Source organism: Homo sapiens, chromosome 2 (assembly GCF_000001405.40).
Source record: "Homo sapiens chromosome 2, GRCh38.p14 Primary Assembly".
In the NCBI taxonomy this organism is placed as follows: Eukaryota; Metazoa; Chordata; class Mammalia; order Primates; family Hominidae; genus Homo; species Homo sapiens.
In genome coordinates this window covers 162,469,711-162,489,485 of record NC_000002.12, presented here as the reverse complement: position 1 = coordinate 162,489,485, position 19,775 = coordinate 162,469,711, and the positions used below count along the sequence as shown (strand labels likewise).

General features: G+C 38.7%; 1 protein-coding gene across 7 annotated transcripts in view; it reads left to right on the top strand.

Moving 5' to 3' along the window:
• The window catches only part of KCNH7 (potassium voltage-gated channel subfamily H member 7), a 467,361-nt gene that overhangs the window by 349,282 nt on the left and 98,304 nt on the right, over window positions 1–19,775 (top strand). The window lies entirely within an intron of this gene.

Sequence of the window (19,775 nt, the reverse complement as noted above, 5' to 3'; positions counted from 1 at the left end):
TATAGCCCTCAGCCCGTGAGCTGCATGTGGGTCAGGATGACTTTGAATGTGACCCAGACAAATTTGTAAACTTTCTTAGAACATTATGAGATTTTTTTGCATTTTTTTTTTAGCTCATCGGCTATCATTAGTGTTAGTGTACTTAATGTGTGGCCCAAAACAATTATTCTTCTTCCAGTGTGGCCCAGAGAAGCCAAAATATTGGACATCCCTGATTCTGGTCAATGATGAGGAAAAAATAAAAACATTTTACAAGCTATTGACTACTTCAAGCATGTTGTATGCTACGTATATAATAAATACAAAATAAGAGTGTGTGTTTCTTGAAAGGAGAAGTGTGGAATTTTTAATTAAGCAGCAAATTAGTTTTCTATTTTTACTAAATGCTATATGCATATCAATACAATCACATAATGACATATATTCTAAATTAAAATGTTATTTCAGTTTAAAATACCGAATTAGCTAGGTAATTAATAAGTGTGAAAAATCACACTTCTGTGTATTCTAGATGATGAAGGAATAACATATCTATATGAAATCCTGGTAGCCAACTGACTAAGCACCGTAGCTTGAAGGGGAAGCATTTATGTGTAATTCTGTTAAAAAGCACCTGTTGGGTTTTATATGTTCGTTATGCCGGGCAAGGTGTCGGAGCCCTGGCACTGGGAAGTGGTCGACTCATGGGTTGGTAAAAAGAATTACTGGCAACAGTATAAGTTTGAAAAGGGAAAGTTTATTAGAAAGGAAGAACACTGCAAAACAGTGCAGTGGGGCACCTCAGTGAGAGGACTGAGCGCAGATTTTTCTTTTGGGATATTTATGGACCTTATGGTGGGAGTGTAGGATTGTAAAATGAGTTTCAGCATGGCATTCCAGAGATGTATAGAAAGTTTTGTTACTTATAAGCTTTTAGGAGGGAAAGAGATCTGGAACAAGATGCCTGCTTTTGATAATGGGAAAGTCTAATTACTTCTAATTTTCCCCAGATAAGGAGTTTTGCCTCTGGATGGCCTGATTGATGGTGGTCTTTGCTACCTTCTAAATTCCTCAGATAAGGAGTTTTTGTATCTGAGGCATGTTCAATGATCACCAAGTGATTTTTGCTCTTCTCACATCACACATTTTAAAGCTAAGGGAAGAAAAAAAATATCATATCCTTTAAAAGTTCTGTTGGACAAAAAATCAGGTTGAAAGTAGCTGCTTGAAGTAAAGAAGTAAAATACAAATGGTCAGAAGAGGTAAAATTAGGTAAAATTTAACTTGGCTTGAGTACCTGGTAATAGCCTGGTTGCTTTGGCAACTAAGACCTTGGAAAGATTGTTGATATCTGTTGTCAAGATGGCTCAGGTCTTTCTTCACCAGTTGTTGTCAATCTTGAGATAAAAGTCAGACCCAGGAACAGAAAAGAAGCACAGGGAGAGAGTTTCTCTGCTCCTTTGCCCTCCTGGCCTGAGGGTTGGGACAAACACATAGTTCAAGGTGGGTTGCCTAATGAGAGTGAGCTAAAGCAGTACATATTCCATGTATCAGAGAGCAAGAATTAGGCAGAGGACATTTATCACAGAAAAATTCCGTAGCAGACGTGGCATTTTCACACATCCAAGCAGCCTAAGGCCTTGTAAGCTTCATTGACTACAGCTATTCCCTGAGTTAGGAAGTGAATTCCAACTTGGGAACTTATTTAGAAAGAAATCCCATATAGAAAGGTAAAATAACATAAAAGGTCTCATTGATTATCTGGGTGTGAGATTGTGGGTAATACATTTTCCCCCTCTAGCTCTATTTCTCTGTATTTTGCAGATCTCATTTATAATGGAAAAATATGCAGTTAGATAATAAACCCTCTAGAACTCAATTGTTTCTAAAGAGTTCATTAAAAAGCATTTCATCTTCACAGGATTTTAAAATTCAAAGGAGCCTTAGATATCATCTTCCTCAGGGTTTCTCAAAATTTCCTGATCAATGGAATCATCTGGAACACACTCTCCCTCTCCCTCCTCCCCACTCACCCCCCACCAAAATTAAATATATCAGTGGAGCCTGAGAATCTTGAAGTTTTTAAAAACTCCATTCCATTTGTGACCTCTTCTGCCACATTATTAAGATCAGGCAAACTTGGAAAATATAAATATAGCACAACCTTTTCATTCTGTAGTTGAAGAAGCTCAAAAGATAATCCAGCAAAGACTTGTGTTTTATATTTCTTTAATTGCTATTGCAAGTTATGTCTCTTTCTGTAGATTTCTTAATGATTAACTAGTTCAGATGTATGTTTTTGTGATATTTTAATCATAAGATTTATGTTAAAAGTGAAGGCATATGAATTCGTATTAACACGATCATACTGGAGAAACAAGCTTACTTTCATTGGGTAGCTACTGAGACCAGAGGGCAGCTACTGTCATATTGAATGATTGTAAAAGTTCTCTAAGAAAGAATCTCCCTTTAAGAGAACTTACCTAGGCCAGAGTCCTCTAAACTATCTTCCTTGCAGAATACTTGTCTCCCAAGGATGTCCCAGAAGAAATATTTTCTTAGTTCAAACAGTAACCCTTCCAGAAATTAATGTGAAAAATTAGCATGTTTAAGGTTCTAAAAATTCCTGAATTAAATAAGTCTATAAAACATTGATTTACCAATATATCTCAAACTTTTTTCATGACAGAACCCATTTTTAATTATGTTTGTTTGTTGATACTAGACATCCATTGATATTCTGAGGAATTAATATGGGGGTGATTTTTTAGGATATACATTTTCATAGATAACTGTGGGCTATATGTGCAACTCAAACATGAATATGTTAGAAATTTTAAAACTCTTTAAAAGAAAAGCTTGAGATAGACATGGGGTAATAGTGACTGGATTAGGAATAAGTGCGTAATAGGAATATTTTTTCCTATTTTTTCTCCTTGTTTTAATGAAGCTCACATAGGTTTCTTTTTCAACCATGTCCCAAATATAGAACTTAGCTTAAAGGAACTAAAGAAATGCCACATATATTTCTTTTTCTACTTTAAATATACCTGTTCCAAGTCCACCTGTGTTTTGAAGCCTATCTTTTAAAAATCATTTAGCTAGAAAGGGAAAAATGTGGGCTGCAGAGTAATGGAGAAAAGAATTAAAGAACCCAAATCTCCCTGCTGGGAGGGACTGTAGTTAAAGCTGATCCCCTACCACATTTATAGTCCAAAGAATTGAAAATGGAGAGCCTTCCTTTTCTGCCCCCTCATCCTAATGAGCTGAGGTTGTTGGTAGCAAGGATGTCACTTTAATGGCCCAGGTAGAGGTGAAGTGGCCTATGGTGTGAGGAGAACCAGAATATAACCGTGGTCTTTTTCACACTTTCTTGGCTCCTCTCTTTTCTCTTGCTCATCCAGTTCTTTTCTGATGTGGCAGGAAAAATATCGCATAATGGTCTGCAACCAGATCTACTTCCTGCTTCCTATTGACCCTTTTTACATTTGAACTGAAGAGTCAAGCTGACAAATTTCTGTGCCATTATCAGCAACACAGTCTTAATTTTCAGATCAAGGAAATAAAGTTCAGTGAGATTGAGTGAGTTGAGTCAAAAGGGAAAAAAAGGATGTAATAGAGAAAAATATTGCTCTATACTGCTCTTTCCTGGTTGACTGGCAGCTGTCAGTTGAGCTGTACCATCCTGTTTCGGGGTGATAAGCTGTCATTTGTAAATTATGCCCACAGGTATATCCATTATTCATGGGTTTTTATTGGAAAATAATGATTTCAGGCCCTTAAATTTTCCTACCTGCAGGCACCTGAATTACTGCTAAAATTGATTGCTGTATTAGTTCTCATACATTCTCTCTCCCTCTCTTTTTCTTACTACGTTCAGAATCTACCAACTCACTTTGTGTTTTCAATAAAGAAAGACTTCTCTTCCCTTCCTATATTTCCTTCTATAGAAATGAATGAAGAGTTTCTGACGTGTAGAGTTTCCTTTAATTTTAGCAACTGGACACTGCAAGTATGAGAGTTCAGTATAAAGTTACCTGAAGCAAAAGTATTTTCTAAATAACAAGTATTACTTCTTTCCACTTTACATAACTTATTACTTGAAAGCAATTAAAAACTAAGGCATAAACCTAATGAGTATTAAAAAGAGAAAGATTATTATCACATTTTTATATTTAGATATCAATAATGAATTAAAATAACCCCTCAGCTTGGACTTCTGATTAGTAATTTTAAGATTTTGAATATGTTTCTCATGTAGATTCCCCCAAATTTGTTTGCATTTTGAAAGCAAACTGTTATAGATCACTAAGGTAGAGAAGCGAAAAAATTAACATGAAGAAAAGTTGAAGGTCTCACCTTTGAGGTAATTTTGTTCCATTCTGAATCTTTAAACTTTTTTGTTTGCTTATTTGTGTGTTTGCTTAAAATCAGAGAAAACAACAGAGACACAGATTCCTTAGTTCCTGTTTTCTTTTCATGTGTCTTAATCTGTTTCGTGTGGCTCTAAAGGAATACCTGAGGCTGGGTAAATTATTTTAAAAAAATTTATTCGCTCATGATTCTGGATGGCTGGAAAGTTCAAGATTGGGCATCTGCATCTGGTGAGGGCCTCAGGCTGCTTCCACTCGTGATGGAAGGCGAAGAGGAGCCAACATGCACAGAGATCACATGGTGAGAGAGGAAGCAACAGAGACAAAGGGAGGTGCCAGGATCTTTTTAACAATCAGCTCTCATGGGAATGAATAGAGCAAGAATTCACTCATTACCATGAGGTTGGCACCAGGCCATTCATGAGGGATCTGCCCCCATGACCCAAACACCTCCCATTAGGCCCCACCTTCAACACTGGGGATCAAATTTCAAAATGAATTTTAGGGGGACAAATATCCAAACTGTAGTACAGTGTAATGATCTTCTGTACATGTTTAACTGCCAAAAATGAATTGTTGCACATTGTATGAATAAGTTAGGATGCATCCTGACTTATTGCGGTCTCTCTGGTTTCTTCACCACATTATTATTGTAGCAATTTTGGAGGAAAACTTCCTTAAGAGCATATGAAACTGTCTTAAAGCAATTGTTTGAATAGTTTTGAAACTTGTGCTCCTTAGCATACAGGATGCTGAAAAGGAGAATGGGGACCAAGGAGACACAGCATTGAGACCTGTACACTTCCCCAGATTCAACGAACTCGCTTCATTTTATGTGGCTTTATATATTGGCTTTCTCTTAAGACTGTGTGTGTGTGTCTCTCTGTGTGTGTGTGTGTGTGTGTGTGTGTGTTGAAAGACTCAACTTGTTTAGGTCAGGCACCCTCAATAAATTTGGTCTAGTTCTGCTATTTATTCTGAGCTTCCCAATATCAAAACTGCTTAGATATTTTCACTAATTCTAGTCATCCAAGTTCTTATTTTTATAGTGATTTTGAGTTAAGGGAACTTTCCAGAGTCCTACAAATAGTAAACTGCACACCCAAGACTGGAACCCTAATTTCTGGACTCTGACTCCAGTGCTCTTTCCACTTGGCACTTCCATTTGAAAGCAAGGCCATTTTAATCCCTGTATGCTCTGTTTTTCACCTAAGGTGGATGACTGACAAAATTTCAACAGCTTTGTAGCCTGACTCCTCCTAGTCTCAATCCTCTTCTCTACAAGATAAATGCTTTAAGAAATACAGGGTTGCTAGCAGAAGTGAGTTTTCATAACTAGTTAAAACCAAGTAGTTGAACAAGATATTTTGGGAAGATGAAAATTTTACTACCTGACTCAAGAAAATTAACTCCATAGGAAAGCAAATAATTTTTTAACACAGTAATGAAAATTTAGAGGGTTATTACTCATTTGTTCTGAAAATATACCCAGCAAAAAAGAATCTGATGCTACTTTTGTGCCAACAGGTTCAAATGTAGAATTGATACTAATTGTCAAGAAGAAACACAATATTCAAGAATATTAAAAAAAAAAACAAAGAATACAGTGAACTCCCATTCCTTAGGAAATTATTTTTATCACTGAAAATTAGGATTTCTAAATGTTGCCAATAATGGTAGTTCCACACTGCAGAATCCCTCTTCCATTCTATGTGAAATTGAAATCTGTTTCAAAAGACCATGTAGCAAAATATGGAAATACATGTCCCGTGGATGGAGGAAATAGTCTGAAACTTGATTTTGTTGGTATAGCCCATTATTAACCCACTTCATTCTACATGATCCTAAAGGGATTATAATGACAAATATTGAAATAATTGGTCTAAGGTAAGATTTTAAAAATATTTTCTATGCATTATTTTAATATATGCACCTCTGTTTCCCAACCATATGGAATATTAAATTAGCTATTTGGACATTTATGAAATTCAAAAGTGAAGTTTTAGGATACGTTAAAATCAGGAATATACTTTGCAATTTATCCTGCATTCCACTTTTATTTCTTTAGCTTATGAGGAGTTAATTCCTTATTAATAGGGGTCCTTCTTCATTCCCATTCTCCTTCTTGAGAATAAATCCAGAATATAATTACTGGTGCATAATAGTTCCAAGAATTTTCAGTTACAGCAGGTAAAAAGTAGGTTGCTAATAGCTGCCATATAATTATATTCCGTTGACAGATGACATTCAGTTTATGTTCCAGAAAATATTAAGTATACACTTTCAGTTTTATATGAAACTTTTTTTTGGTATAGCTATCCAGAAAAATATGGAAAGATTTTGATTAATCTATGAAGATTTGAAGAACCTACTTCTGCAACATTTTCAATTTCCCAAGGTTCTATTGCTGTAGGAAGCAGCAGACATGAATAATATCATTCTCTTCTCTTGCTTTGGCTTAATGCTTAACCTGAGTGACCTGACACATACCTTGATTCTGGTTCAACCAGTAAACTTAATATAACTTTTTTAAAGTGCTAGCATTGTTTGCAACAGCTATTCCCAAGTCTTAGAGAGAAAACTTTTATATTGTAACAGGTTAATTCTTTTATTGCACTATCACCCACATGAACTCGCTTTAATATATCCTTTGGAATCAGCTGTTTATCTTCCTGGAAAACAAGCATACACACACACACACCACAGAAGACATTTTGGCATTTGCTCCTCACCCCAAAGTGCTCTTTCACTACTTTCCCTCTTCCCTATCACTGTATTCTTACTCCTCATCAGCACATCACATCTGCTCTGGTCAGTCTTCTTTAAACTCCCCTTGTCCTACTCATAACAAGCCTTGGAAATTTGCTTGCAGCAATTCCTAGACTAGACCTATTGCCATCCTCTTCTCTATATATCAAAGCCTTCTCATTTCTGAGATCCAAATCATCTCCAGGTAAGTTTAATAGGCTCCCCAGCTTGCACTGATCTATCCCATCCTTAAACTCAAAGAGCACTTAGTCTATTTTTACACAACTAAACAATTTATTTCCATACTGCTTTGTGTTTCTTGCTAGATAGCTAGATGATGATAATGATGATGATGAAAAAGAAGAAAGAGAAGATGATAATAGATAGATTGATGATAGATAGATAGATAGATAGATAGATGATAGATAGATAGATAACCTGTGTATATATGTGTCTGTATAATGAGTTTATTTCATTTTCTTAACTATGCCTTCAGAGGTAGGATCATAACATCTTTTTAAAATATCTCTCAAAATACCTAACACTGCTAACTCATCAATTGGTAATTGGGCTAAATAAACTGCACATTTTATTTAATGCATGCAGTACATTCTCAGCATTCATAAGAGAAGGTTATGATGTCTGATAATACTTCCTTGATGAGAGGGAGTAACAACCTCATGTATTCATTCATGTGACATTTATTGAGTTTATACTAAGTTCCAGGCAAGCCAAATAAGATACATAAAAGTTAATTCTTCTCCTCCTTTTATATACTCTGCACTTGCTCTCTCGTTTTTTTACTGATGAGGAAAGTCTGGAAATGATGGGGAGACACTGTGCTGGATAGAACATCTTAGATAAGACCATCCTGAACTGAATTGTAAAAGGTTGAGACTCTCTTATTCCATTAGCTTCCAAGTGGGAAGATAAGAAAATATCATTTGTATTCAAATTTCCACCCCTATCATTTAATACTGACAATGTTCTTGACTGTATTGTTTGATTCTTCCTTGTCTTGGATTCCTAATTTGTAAAGTAGGCATAATATCTTCTTCATTGTAGACATTCAGTAAAAGTTTAGTGTCATTTCCAAGGCAAAACTGCAAATAATTTTTTTTGTTCTCCAGATGTATATGGAATGCCTAATCTGAAAAGGATGCTGTTTCACAAACTCTGGTTACAGTGGTGACACATCCCTGCCATCTAGTTGAGTGGGAAAAGATAGAAAGAATAAGAGAAAATCGAAGTGTGACAAAATTTATACTGGTAATAAATGGGGCAATCTGTGAGCAGAAAGGGGGCACGTAACCCAGTCTGGAGGAGCCAGAAGAATCATTGTCGACATTAAAACACGAAGGAAGCCAGAAGGATGTCAGCTGGGTGGAGACTCAGGTAGCAGGTGCAAGGCAGTCACCAAAAGCAGCACAGTGATTTTCAAGCCCAGTGAATAGGGGAGGCAAAGTCCCAGAGGCAACTGTGGGAAGAGTAGCATGAGACAGCTCCGATCTCTTAACCATCCTCCTTTTTCCACCTCTTTTTCCTTAACCCCCTCACTTCGTAACTTCTTGCCCTATATAAGCTAGACCATTCTCCCAGGCCAGTTTTCCATTCCAAAATGTTCCCTTCATATCATGGATGACTATCTGATAAACTGGCCCAATGTTCTCAGGTAGTATACAAAATTATAAATAGAGTTTGTTTAAAAATAAATCCCCTCAGTTCCCATCATAATAAAAAGCCATGTTTTCTGAATGCCACCAATTTGATGAGAGTATCTCATGTAAAAAGCTGCATGAAAAACTGAGAGTTTTGTTCTCACTGGGATATATTTGCATCTTGAATGAGAAATTAATTAACTCAAATGAATTTTATTGATGGAAACATGCAGGAGGAAGGTGAGGGATGGCAGGAGAAAGGAAAGATATGCTTTAGATTCAGGCTCTCTGGTTTACACCCTCCCAAATTTCCCACAAGTTCACCTTCCTTAGGTACCCTCCCAATCCCATTGCTATAGTCATTTCTCTTTTTTCACCTTCAGAAGGAGTTAGGGGTTCAGTCAAACAGCCTTCTGCTGAAGGAGGAGAATGAATGTACAATTGTGAGGAGCTTCCTGTGTTTACTGAAGACTGAATCATTTACAATGTAGTAATCAGTCAGGAAAACCACAAAAAAATGCATACACCGCAAGTGTCTATTTAAAATTGCAGTATTTCAATAAGGCTTAAATTTAAAAAAAAAACAGAATTCTTAAAGTAAGTAACCTGAACTCCATTTTTTATAGCATAATCTAATGCTTGCCTTCAACTAGAGATTTTCTTTCCTCTCCTAATGTCTTAAAATAGCTTCATTAAACTCTTAAGAAATGATGTTCTTCTTGACAAAATCATGCTTCATGGAATATCAAGTTACATTTGCAATACCTTCAAATGAAATCTAAGATGACATTGTCATGAAGTAGAAATTAAAATAAATTCCATCTCTTATTTTGAGGTTCAGCCTGCATTTATTTTCCATTCTAAGAAAGACTAAAAGGCAGGGATTAATGAACTAAAAAAAGGCATTAGGAGGGATTCTCCACAATGCTTCTCCAAAGGCATCCTCGGGTAGGTAAAAATATTATTTCTCTTCAGCTTTTGATATCTGATTTCACTCTATACTTCAGTCATACAGCCATCTCAACACACACACACACACACACACACACACACATGCACACACACACACAATTTCCTAATGTATCTCAAGTTGAATTTATCTGCCTCTATCTTAGGAGACATCATTTATTGTTTCCTTTTCATCTTATGAGTATGCATATAAATTTCATTTCTAATCTATAAAAATGAAATAAACAAGAACCAAAATATATATTTAGGACAAATGTGATTTATGCTTAAATTGTCAAAGCCAATTGCTCATTCAGTTAAGTTTTGAATTGTACTTTGGGTACTGATCATTTGTTCTCATAAACAAATAAACATGCTTGCTTGAAATCTATAAGAATATATAAAGTTCACAAGCCTTTCATTTTGCCAAAAATCTAAACTCTGATATTTCTATAACAAAAATAAAACCTTTCATCAATACACAAGGGTATCCTTTAGCAAATAAATAATTAGCATTATTTTTTAAGATAAATAATTTGTATTCAACTTATCAATGAATATAAGATATATTCAAGCTATTGAATGACTTTTTTTGAAAAAAAAAAAAGACTTTCACATTCTTTTTTTTTTTCCATTCTCATTACAGGGCCTCATTCTATCAGTCAGAGGTAGAATTTTTCAATAATTGAGTCATTCCCACTGACCTAAATTTAGAGTGCAGTACTGTACCTCTCTCCCCTCCCTCGTGATTTCTGTGAACAGATCTGAAGCTTTAAAATAAAAATTGCCCGTATGTTTTATTTGGATCCGTTCTGCTTCCTTCTAAAAAGCACCAGGAAAGCCCAGGGAGTCACAATGATTAAGGACATGTTCTGGAGTTTAACCTGCTCTCTAAAACGGGATGCATTCCAGGGCATAAAAGAAACTCTGAAGTAGGTCAGAAGCTTTAACTGCCCGAGGGCCTACCTTACACGGGAGGCAAGCAGGTGGTTTGAAATTAAATTAGTGCCAGAAACATCAATGAATCATGATTCTATGGCTTTATATTAGACTGAAAGGTGAGGAAATACAGTGTGTCATAAGGCCTTCAAAACCTCATTGATTTGGACTTCCTAACTTTGAATTTGCATTAATTCAGATGAGGACTTGGTTTGAAATCATTTTGTGCGGTCCCTGAAGTGGGTTGAGGTGATGTGAAGGAGAGAATTTGCAAAATGAATGAGGGAAATATCTAGCCTATAAGATTATAGACAAACAAAATACTTTCCAGAATAACATTAGAAGAATCACAGAGTAAATATTGTAATTAAAATTGTTCTTATTACACTTACAACATTTTATTCCAAACAAGTAGATTAAATCTATGAGATGCTCATCACTGAGGTAATACATGGTGCCCCCTGACCTCAAGCAGATCACAAATACTTGCTGGAAAATCTGCTCGCCCACTTCCACCTGTAACAGTCTATGGTACTATAATGAACAATTAACTGGGGAGAGGTGGAGTACTTGCAATTGGCAATGGAAAATGGACATAGCTTCTTGCAGGAGATACCCAGATCATTGGGAGCCTTGAGCAGTTAATCCAGGTGTGTGAAGACCTTTCCAAGGCCCGGTCTAATGGGCTCTACTTGTGTCTAGTCTGACCTCTATCTTCTACCACTGTACCTAGCCCATTTCCTCAAGGATGCCTTCCTTAACCTGAGTTAAATTCATCCAGTCACACACTTTCACAGTGCCTTCCTTTTATCTTCTATCACACATATCACAATTGAGATGAAATCTTTATTTGTGTACTTATTTGTGTCATACCCATTTTGCCCCACTAGTGACTAAGTTCCATGAGGACAGGGGCTGTGTCTTTTTTGTTTCTCATAGTTTTCCCAGTGTCTGCTCAATAAAAGTTGGGTGGGTGGGCAAATGGATGGATGGATGGATGGATGGATGGATGGATGGATGGATAGATGTTTGGGCAGAAGGCTATATAGAAAAATGTAGGCACGCATTTGAAGAGGTAAGGTAGAGTCAGAATTCTACCACATCCCCTCCTAAATCAATTATGGCATTTGGCTTTTAAGAGGGGAATAGTATTTCATCCAGTAATATGAAATTACTGAAAATAAATAAGTATTAGAACAAAATATTTTTGTAGAATTTATAATATGTTTGCTTCTTGTGTGTATCAGTGTTATTCCCTGTGAAGACAGAAATGACAACCTGCTTTTTTTTAGGGCCTGACTGCTGGAAAATAAATAAATAAAACTTCCCTCATATAAAGTCCCTCCTTCTCTATTCTATCTCTGAAGCCTGCAGGAAAGACCCTGTTGACTTTTTTTCTCAAGCAGGCTTGCCTAAGAACTGGAAAGAGAGCCCAAAGGAAGAAGGCAGCTGATGAAGCTGCCAGGCAGCTTTGTGCTCCAGAAGCCCTGGGTCTTGGCTTTGACTCTTGTGCTCCCTGCCCCTTGGCAGTTGAGCTCTGAGCACTGGTGATGCATTCATTCAGGGCCTTAGTCTCCTCTGGGGTGAGTCCATGTTAGTAAGTGAAAAGATACCATGGCAGGAAAATCTGCAGAATGTCAGGAATGATCATAAGGCTCTAAGCTTTCAAGATACTGCCTTTAATCGTTACTTACTGCTAGGCAAGAATTTTATACTTCTCTTTCACTCTTGTTTTTCTTACTGCGGTTAGGAAATTTATCTTTAAAAATCAGTTTAAATAGGTGGCCTGAATGACAACATTTATATGCCTAGCCTAAGCCCTTAGATGCCCTAGTTCCTAATTCCTGAGGTAACTAAGACATAAATAAATCTGATGCCCAAGGCTACAACTTCTGCTCCTGACTAATGCATTTTTAATTGTTATTATATAAAAGCTTGTATTGCAAATATGAGACTTAATAATGTGCATAACCACTTTTTAACATCTGAGAAGCTGTGTTTCCACTGGAGGTAACAATAGAATCTTAGTTTTTGAAGCTTCAAATTTGCAATTATTCTCTGGAAAGGCCTTCATTCTTCAGTTCATTAGGGAATGACACATGATGTTTTCTGCCATTATTATTTACTAAAGATAGTATAGGATTGACCTCTGTTTTATCAATTATCTCAAGATTAGTTGTATTGAAAGATGTTTTAAAATATATTTAGTAAAGTATACTAATGAACCTATAATATTAAGGATACAGAGCAAATGACATATAGCTTAGTAAAATGGAAGTAATTTAAAATGAACTGGTAAGAAAATTTCATTAGTTTCAGATTCATAACCTTTATTTTAAATATGTTACATTAAAATATAATATCTGCTGTAAAAATTATCTAGTTTCAGCATCTGTCTTCATAAGAAGTTAAATGATAGTTTCAGGATAATGAGTTTTGCTGAATTACTGAATGTATTAAGATGCTCTCGAGGTATTCTTATCCAATAGTAATGCCAGGCAAATATTAATATTTTGATACAGCCTCTGGTATAATGAATATGTCTTGGAATATTAACACTAGAAGTTTGCTCTATAAAAGTTTGCTCTATATAAAGTTTCAGTGTAATTTTCACCAGAAAGTTTAAGGGCATTATTTCAGCAAGTTTCACCAAGAAAGCTGAGAACTGGTAAAATGAATTTCATTAATGGGCGCCAGACTCCTTTAATGAGATGGCAGGCTTTGGGAGGCTTCATATGAGTTCTAAATGTTCCGGACAAGGCTTGCAATTTGCTTTGCTGAAGGCATAGAGTGCCCCCAACAAAAGGGGCTTCTCCAGTTGCAGTTTTCTGGGTTAATGTATTCCAGGTTGAATTATCTCACCCATTGATTGCTGCCCTGGGAATTTCAGTGTTCATACAAACTAACAAACGTCCACCAGATAAGCACCAGCAATGCCCAGCTGGCTCTTTGTCCCCCATGGGAAATTTTCTCAGTTAGAGCTGGGTAATTGTTTAGTGCAGCTGCTGCAGTTTCAAGGGTGCCAGCTCATCTGAGCCAACTGTATGCACACAGCCCATGACTCATGAGGCTGAGAAAGTACACACTGCTGGTGGGTGGGTGGGGGCCTTCAAGGACTCCATGTTAAATTTGCCCTCTTCTTTGTCAACTATTTGGGGGATAATACATAGTGAAAGGCAGTTATTTAAGGGGTATAAATATCCTATATCGTGAAAATCAGCTATAGGTAGGCATAATAACCTCATCTTTATTAAAAAGCTTTCACTGTATGTATCTGAACAGTCACTTGGCTGTACTGTATGTGTTATAATAACATAACATTGTAAGATGTGTGGTTTCTTACATACACCCAAATATGGAACTGGCATAATATCCAGAGCAAGGGACAATTTGGGTGGAGACGGGGAAGGCAAGCACTGTTCTCTGGCCTCATGCCACGCTATTTGGCATAGGGTTCAATATCAGATCTTCCAAAATTATTCTAGAAATACCCAAAATATATTTTGTGAGACAACTGATTATTATTGTGAGGCAATTTGAATTTATTAGGGCTTTACTGTCAATTAGACACGGTAATGTCCTCCTGGAAAAATTCTTTTAAGTAGTATTCTGCACATAAATGGCATCTTTAAACAGTGTCATTCGCCACATGTATACCACATGTCTCCAGGGGCTTGTAGTATATATAATAATAAAGTAAGAGTTCTTGATAAATTAGTGATCTATTGTTCAGTGACAAATTAACCTAAATCTTAGTGTCTGAAGACAACAAGCCTTTGTTACCCCACAGTTTTTATGGATCGAGAATTGAAGAGAAGCTTAGCTAGGTGTTCTCACTCCAGGTCTTCCACAAGGCTGGAAGAATGTGAGCTGACTCTTCTGAGCTCACTTACGTGAGCCTTCCAGCAAGGCTGATTTCCTCCAGAGCAATCATGGCAGCTGGTTTCCTCCAGAGAAACAGCCTAAGAGAGAGTGTGAGAGTGCACACTGTCAGTTATGGCTGCAGTTGTCTCAAAGATCAATAAGGGATGATCTGTTTCCAAGCTTGCTTACTAGGCTGTTGGCTGCCTCAGATGATCCTCTTCTGAGCTTACTTATGTGAGCCTTCCAGCAAGGCTGGTTTCCTCCAGAGCAACCATGGCAGCTGGTTTCCTCCAGAGCAACAGCCTAAGAGAGAGTATGAGAGTGCACACAGACAGAAGCCACAGCCTTTTTACAACTTAACATAGTAATGACATCTTTTCACCTCTGCTATATTGTATCCATATGAAGCAAGTCAGTAAGTCCAGCCTACACTCAAGAGGAAGGGATTACATAAAGACATGAATACCAGGAGGCAGAAATCTTAATTCAAGGCATCAGCCTTTCTCTCTGGAATTATAATAGCTACCTCTAATTAGTTTCAGAACCTCCAATTTTGATCTACTCCAGTGAAACTATTTTTGCTATGGCAAAGTGGTCTTTAAAAACTGCTAATCTGATCATGTCATTTAACAACTGGTAACTGTCCTCAAGAGAATGTCTAATCTTCTTATTATGACCCTTTATATACAGTGCATAAAGACAGTATTAAATGGTATTTAAAGTCTTAGGCTCTAAAGCCAAGTTGCCTGGCTTCTAATCCTGGTTCTGCCATGTATCACTTTTATGCCCCTGGGAAAGTTTGCTAACCTCATGGGACTTTAATTTCTTCATTGAAACCTGAAATGGTAATAAGAGCTACTTTATAGGATTATTGTGAAAATTCAATGAGATAATTCTTATGCAGCTCTTGGCACAGTGTCTAGGACATAGAAAGACCTTAAGAAGGGTAGGTTGTTATTATAATTCCCCATTTTATCTGAGCCATTTCATGCCATATTGTGCAACCACAGCAAACTACAGTAGAGTCAATTTTGACCTCTTACAAAGCTGTCTTTATCTGAAGAGCTTTCATTTATTCATAAAAACTCAATTCAGAGAGTTAAGTTTTCCTACAGAAAGACTTTATACACACACAAATGCACATACTTAAGCATACAATTTTGGACAAAGTGGTTTTCTCTGTACTCCCTCAGCTCCTATGTATAACTCTATCATGGTGTTCATCACACTGTATCGCCATTGTTATTTCTCTATGGTCCCTATTAGAATATGACCTCTTCTAAGGAGTCTTTTATTTCTGTATCCACAGAGCCTAGCCCAGTGCCTGGCATATAATAAATATGTCCTTAATGAATGTGGGCAGAATGGTCTAATAAATAAATGATTTGGGAGTTTTTTGATGTAGTCTCCTTCTTCATTTCTTCATCCTACTTCTGACACCCACTTACTCATTCCCTCACCTCAAGTCCTGATTGCATAAGGATATTTCAACTGTTGCTTTGAAGAGAAAGCTGCCCAAACAAGTTGTTAAGATCAAAGAACATGTTTCTCCTCATATGCAGTTCTAAAGACACAAATTAAATTAAGGTCAATATTTCTTTCCCTGACTTTCTGTTATTTGGGCTTTTGAAATTTACAACTTTGTAATAATTGCTTCACTCCCAAGCCAAACTCCTCAGTCAGGCATTTATTTTTTTTCTCTTTTTTTGTTTTATGATTCTAGTATTTTTTATTTTTTATTTTTATTTATTTTTAAATTATACTTTAAGTTCTAGGGTACATGTGCACAACGTGCCGGTTTGTTACATATGTATACGTGTGCCATGTTGGTGTGCTGCACCCATTAACTCATCATTTACATTAGGTATATCTCCTAATGCTATCCCTCCCCTCTCCCCCTACCCCACAACAGGCCCCGGTGTGTGGTGTTCCCCTTCCTGTGTCCAAGTGTTCTCATTGTTCAATTCCCACCTATGAGTGAGGACATATGGTGTTTGGTTTTTTGTCCTTGCGATACTTTGCTGAGAATGATGGTTTCCAGCTTCATCCATGTCCCTACAAAGGACATGAAATCATCCATTTTTATGGTGTTTATATGCCACATTTTCTTAATCCAGTCTATCACTGATGGACATTTGGGTCGGTTCCAAGTTTTTGCTATTGTGAATAGTGCCACAATAAACATACATGTGCATGTGTCTTTATAGCAGCATGATTTATAATCCTTTGGGTGTATACCCAGTAATGGGATGGCTGGGTCAAATGGTATTTCTAGTTCTAGATCCCTGAGGAATCACCACACCGACTGCCACAATGGTTGAACTAGTTTACAGTCCCACCAACAGTGTAAAAGTGTTCCTATTTCTCCACATCCTCTCCAGCACCTGTCGTTTCCTGACTTTTTAATGATTGCCATTCTAAGTGGTGTGAGATGGTATCTCATTGTGGTTTTGATTTGCATTTCTCTGATGGCCAGTGATGATGAGCATTTTTTCATGTGTCTGCTGGCTGCATAAATGTCTTCTTTTGTGAAGTGTCTGTTCATATCCTTTACCCACTTGTTGATGGGGTTGTTTGTTTTTTTCTTGTAAATTTGTTTGAGTTCTTTGTAAATTCTGGGTATTAGCCCTTTGTCAGATGAGTAGATTGCAAAAATTTTCTCCCATTCTGTAGGTTGCCTGTTCACTCTCATGGTAGTTTCTTTTGCTGTGCAGAAGCTCTTTAGTTTAATTAGATCCCATTTGTCAATTTTGGCTTTTGTTGCCATTGCTTTTGGTGTTTTAGACATGAAGTCCTTGCCCATGCGTATGTCCTGAATAGTATTGCCTAGGTTTTCTTCTAGGGTTTTTATGGTTTTAGGTCTAACATTTAAGTCTTTAATCCATCTTGAATTAATTTTTGTATAAGGTGTAAGGAAGGGATCCAGTTTCAGCTTTCTACATATGGCTAGCCAGTTTTCCCAGCACCATTTATTAAATAGGGAATCCTTTCTCCATTTCTTGTTTTTGTCAGGTTTGTCAAAGATCAGATGGTTGTAGATGTGTGGTATTATTTCTGAGGGCTCTGTTCTGTTCCATTGGTCTATATCTCTGTTTTGGTAAGAGTACCATGCTGTTTTGGTTACTGTAGCCTTGTAGTTTAGTTTGAAGTCAGGTAGCATGATGCCTCCAGTTTTGTTCTTTTGGCTTAGGATTGACTTGGCAGTGCAGGCTCTTTTTTGGTTCCATATGAACTTTAAAGTAGTTTTTTCCAATTCTGTGAAGAAAGTCATTGGTAGCTTAATAGGGATGGCATTGAATCTATAAATTACCTTGGGCAGTATGGCCATTTTCATGATATTATTCTTCCTATCCATGAGCATGTAATGTTCTTCCATTTGTTTGTGTCCTCTTTTATTTCATTGAACAGTGGTTTGTATTTCTCCTTGAAGAGGTCCTTCACATCCCTTGTAAGGTCGTAAAACTCCACAGAATCTGCTCCACACAGACCTCTTCACCCACACCATCTCCAAGGCTCTTTCTCATTGACTGCTCTCAAACACGTGTATACACACACACAAGCACAAGCATACATACACACAAATGCACACATATAGAAACATGCAAATATATACACAGGAGACCAAGTGCATCGGATTCATTTTAGATGCTTGTTAAAATTCAGATTCCTGGGCTTCACCTAGTCTCAGAGGGCAAAGAGCAGGAAATCTACCTTTTTTTTTTTTTTTTTAATTTATTGATCATTCTTGGGTGTTTCTCGCAGAGGGGGATTTGGCAGGGTCATAGGACAATAGTGAAGGGAAGGTCAGCAGATAAACAAGTGAACAAAGGTCTCTGGTTTTCCTAGGCAGAGGACCCTGCGGCCCTCCGCAGTGTTTGTGTCCCTGGGTACTTGAGATTAGGGAGTGGTGATGACTCTTAACAAGCATGCTGCCTTCAAGCATCTGTTTAACAAAGCACATCTTGCACCGCCCTTAATCCATTTAACCCTGAGTGGACACAGCACATGTTTCAGAGGGCACAGGGTTGGGGGTAAGGTCAGAGATCAACAGGATCCCAAGGCAGAAGAATTTTTCTTAGTACAGAACAAAGTGAAAAGTCTCCCATGTCTACTTCTTTCTACACAGACACAGCAACCACCCAATTTCTCAATCTTTTCCCCACCTTTCCCCCTCCTCTATTCCACAAAACCACCATTGTCATCATGGCCTGTTCTCAATGAGCCGTTGGGTACACCTCCCAGACGGGGTGGTGGCCGAGCAGAGAAGCTCCTCACTTCCCAGTAGGGGCGGCTGGGCAGAGGCGCCCCTCACCTCCCGGACGGGGCGGCTGGCCGGGCGGGGGGCTGACCCCCCCACCTCCCTCCCGGATGGGGCGGCCGGCCTGGCGGGGGCTGACCCCCACCTCCCTCCCGGACGGGGTGGCTGCCGGGCGGAGACGCTCCTCACTTCCTAGACGGGGTGGCTGCCCGGCAGAGGGGCTCCTCACTTCTCAGACAGGGCGGCTGCCGGGCGGAGGGGCTCCTCACTTCTCAGACGGGGCGGCTGCCGGGCGTAGGGTCTCCTCACTTCTCAGACGGGGCGGCCGGGCAGAGACGCTCCTCACCTCCCAGACAGGGTCGCGGCCGGGCAGAGGCGCTCCTCACATCCCAGACAGGGCACTAGGGCAGAGGCGCTCCCCACATCTCAGACGATGGGCGGGCGGGCAGAGACGCTCCTCACTTCCTAGATGGGATGGCGGCCGGGCAGAGAGGCTCCTCACTTTCCAGACTGGGCAGCCAGGCAGAGGGGCTCCTCACATCCCAGACGATGGGCGGCCAGGCAGAGACACTCCTCACTTCCCAGACGGGGTGGCGGCCGGGTAGAGGCTGCAATCTCGGCACTTTGGGAGGCCAAGGCAGGCGGCTGGGAGATGGAGGTTGTAGCGAGCCGAGATCACGCCACTGCACTCCAGCCTGGGCACCATTGAGCACTGAGTGAACGAGACTCCGTCTGCAATCCCGGCACCTCGGGAGGCCGAGGCTGGCGGATCACTCGCGGTCAGGAGCTGGAGACCAGCCCGGCCAAGACAGCGAAACCCCGTCTCCACCAAAAAAATATGAAAACCAGTCAGGCGTGGCGGCGCGCGCCTGCAATCGCAGGCACTCGGTAGGCTGAGGCAGGAGAATCAGGCAGGGAGTTTGCAGTGAGCCGAGATGGCGGCAGCACAGTCCAGCTTCAGCTCGGCATCAGAGGGAGACCATGGAAAGAGAAGGAGAGGGAGACCGT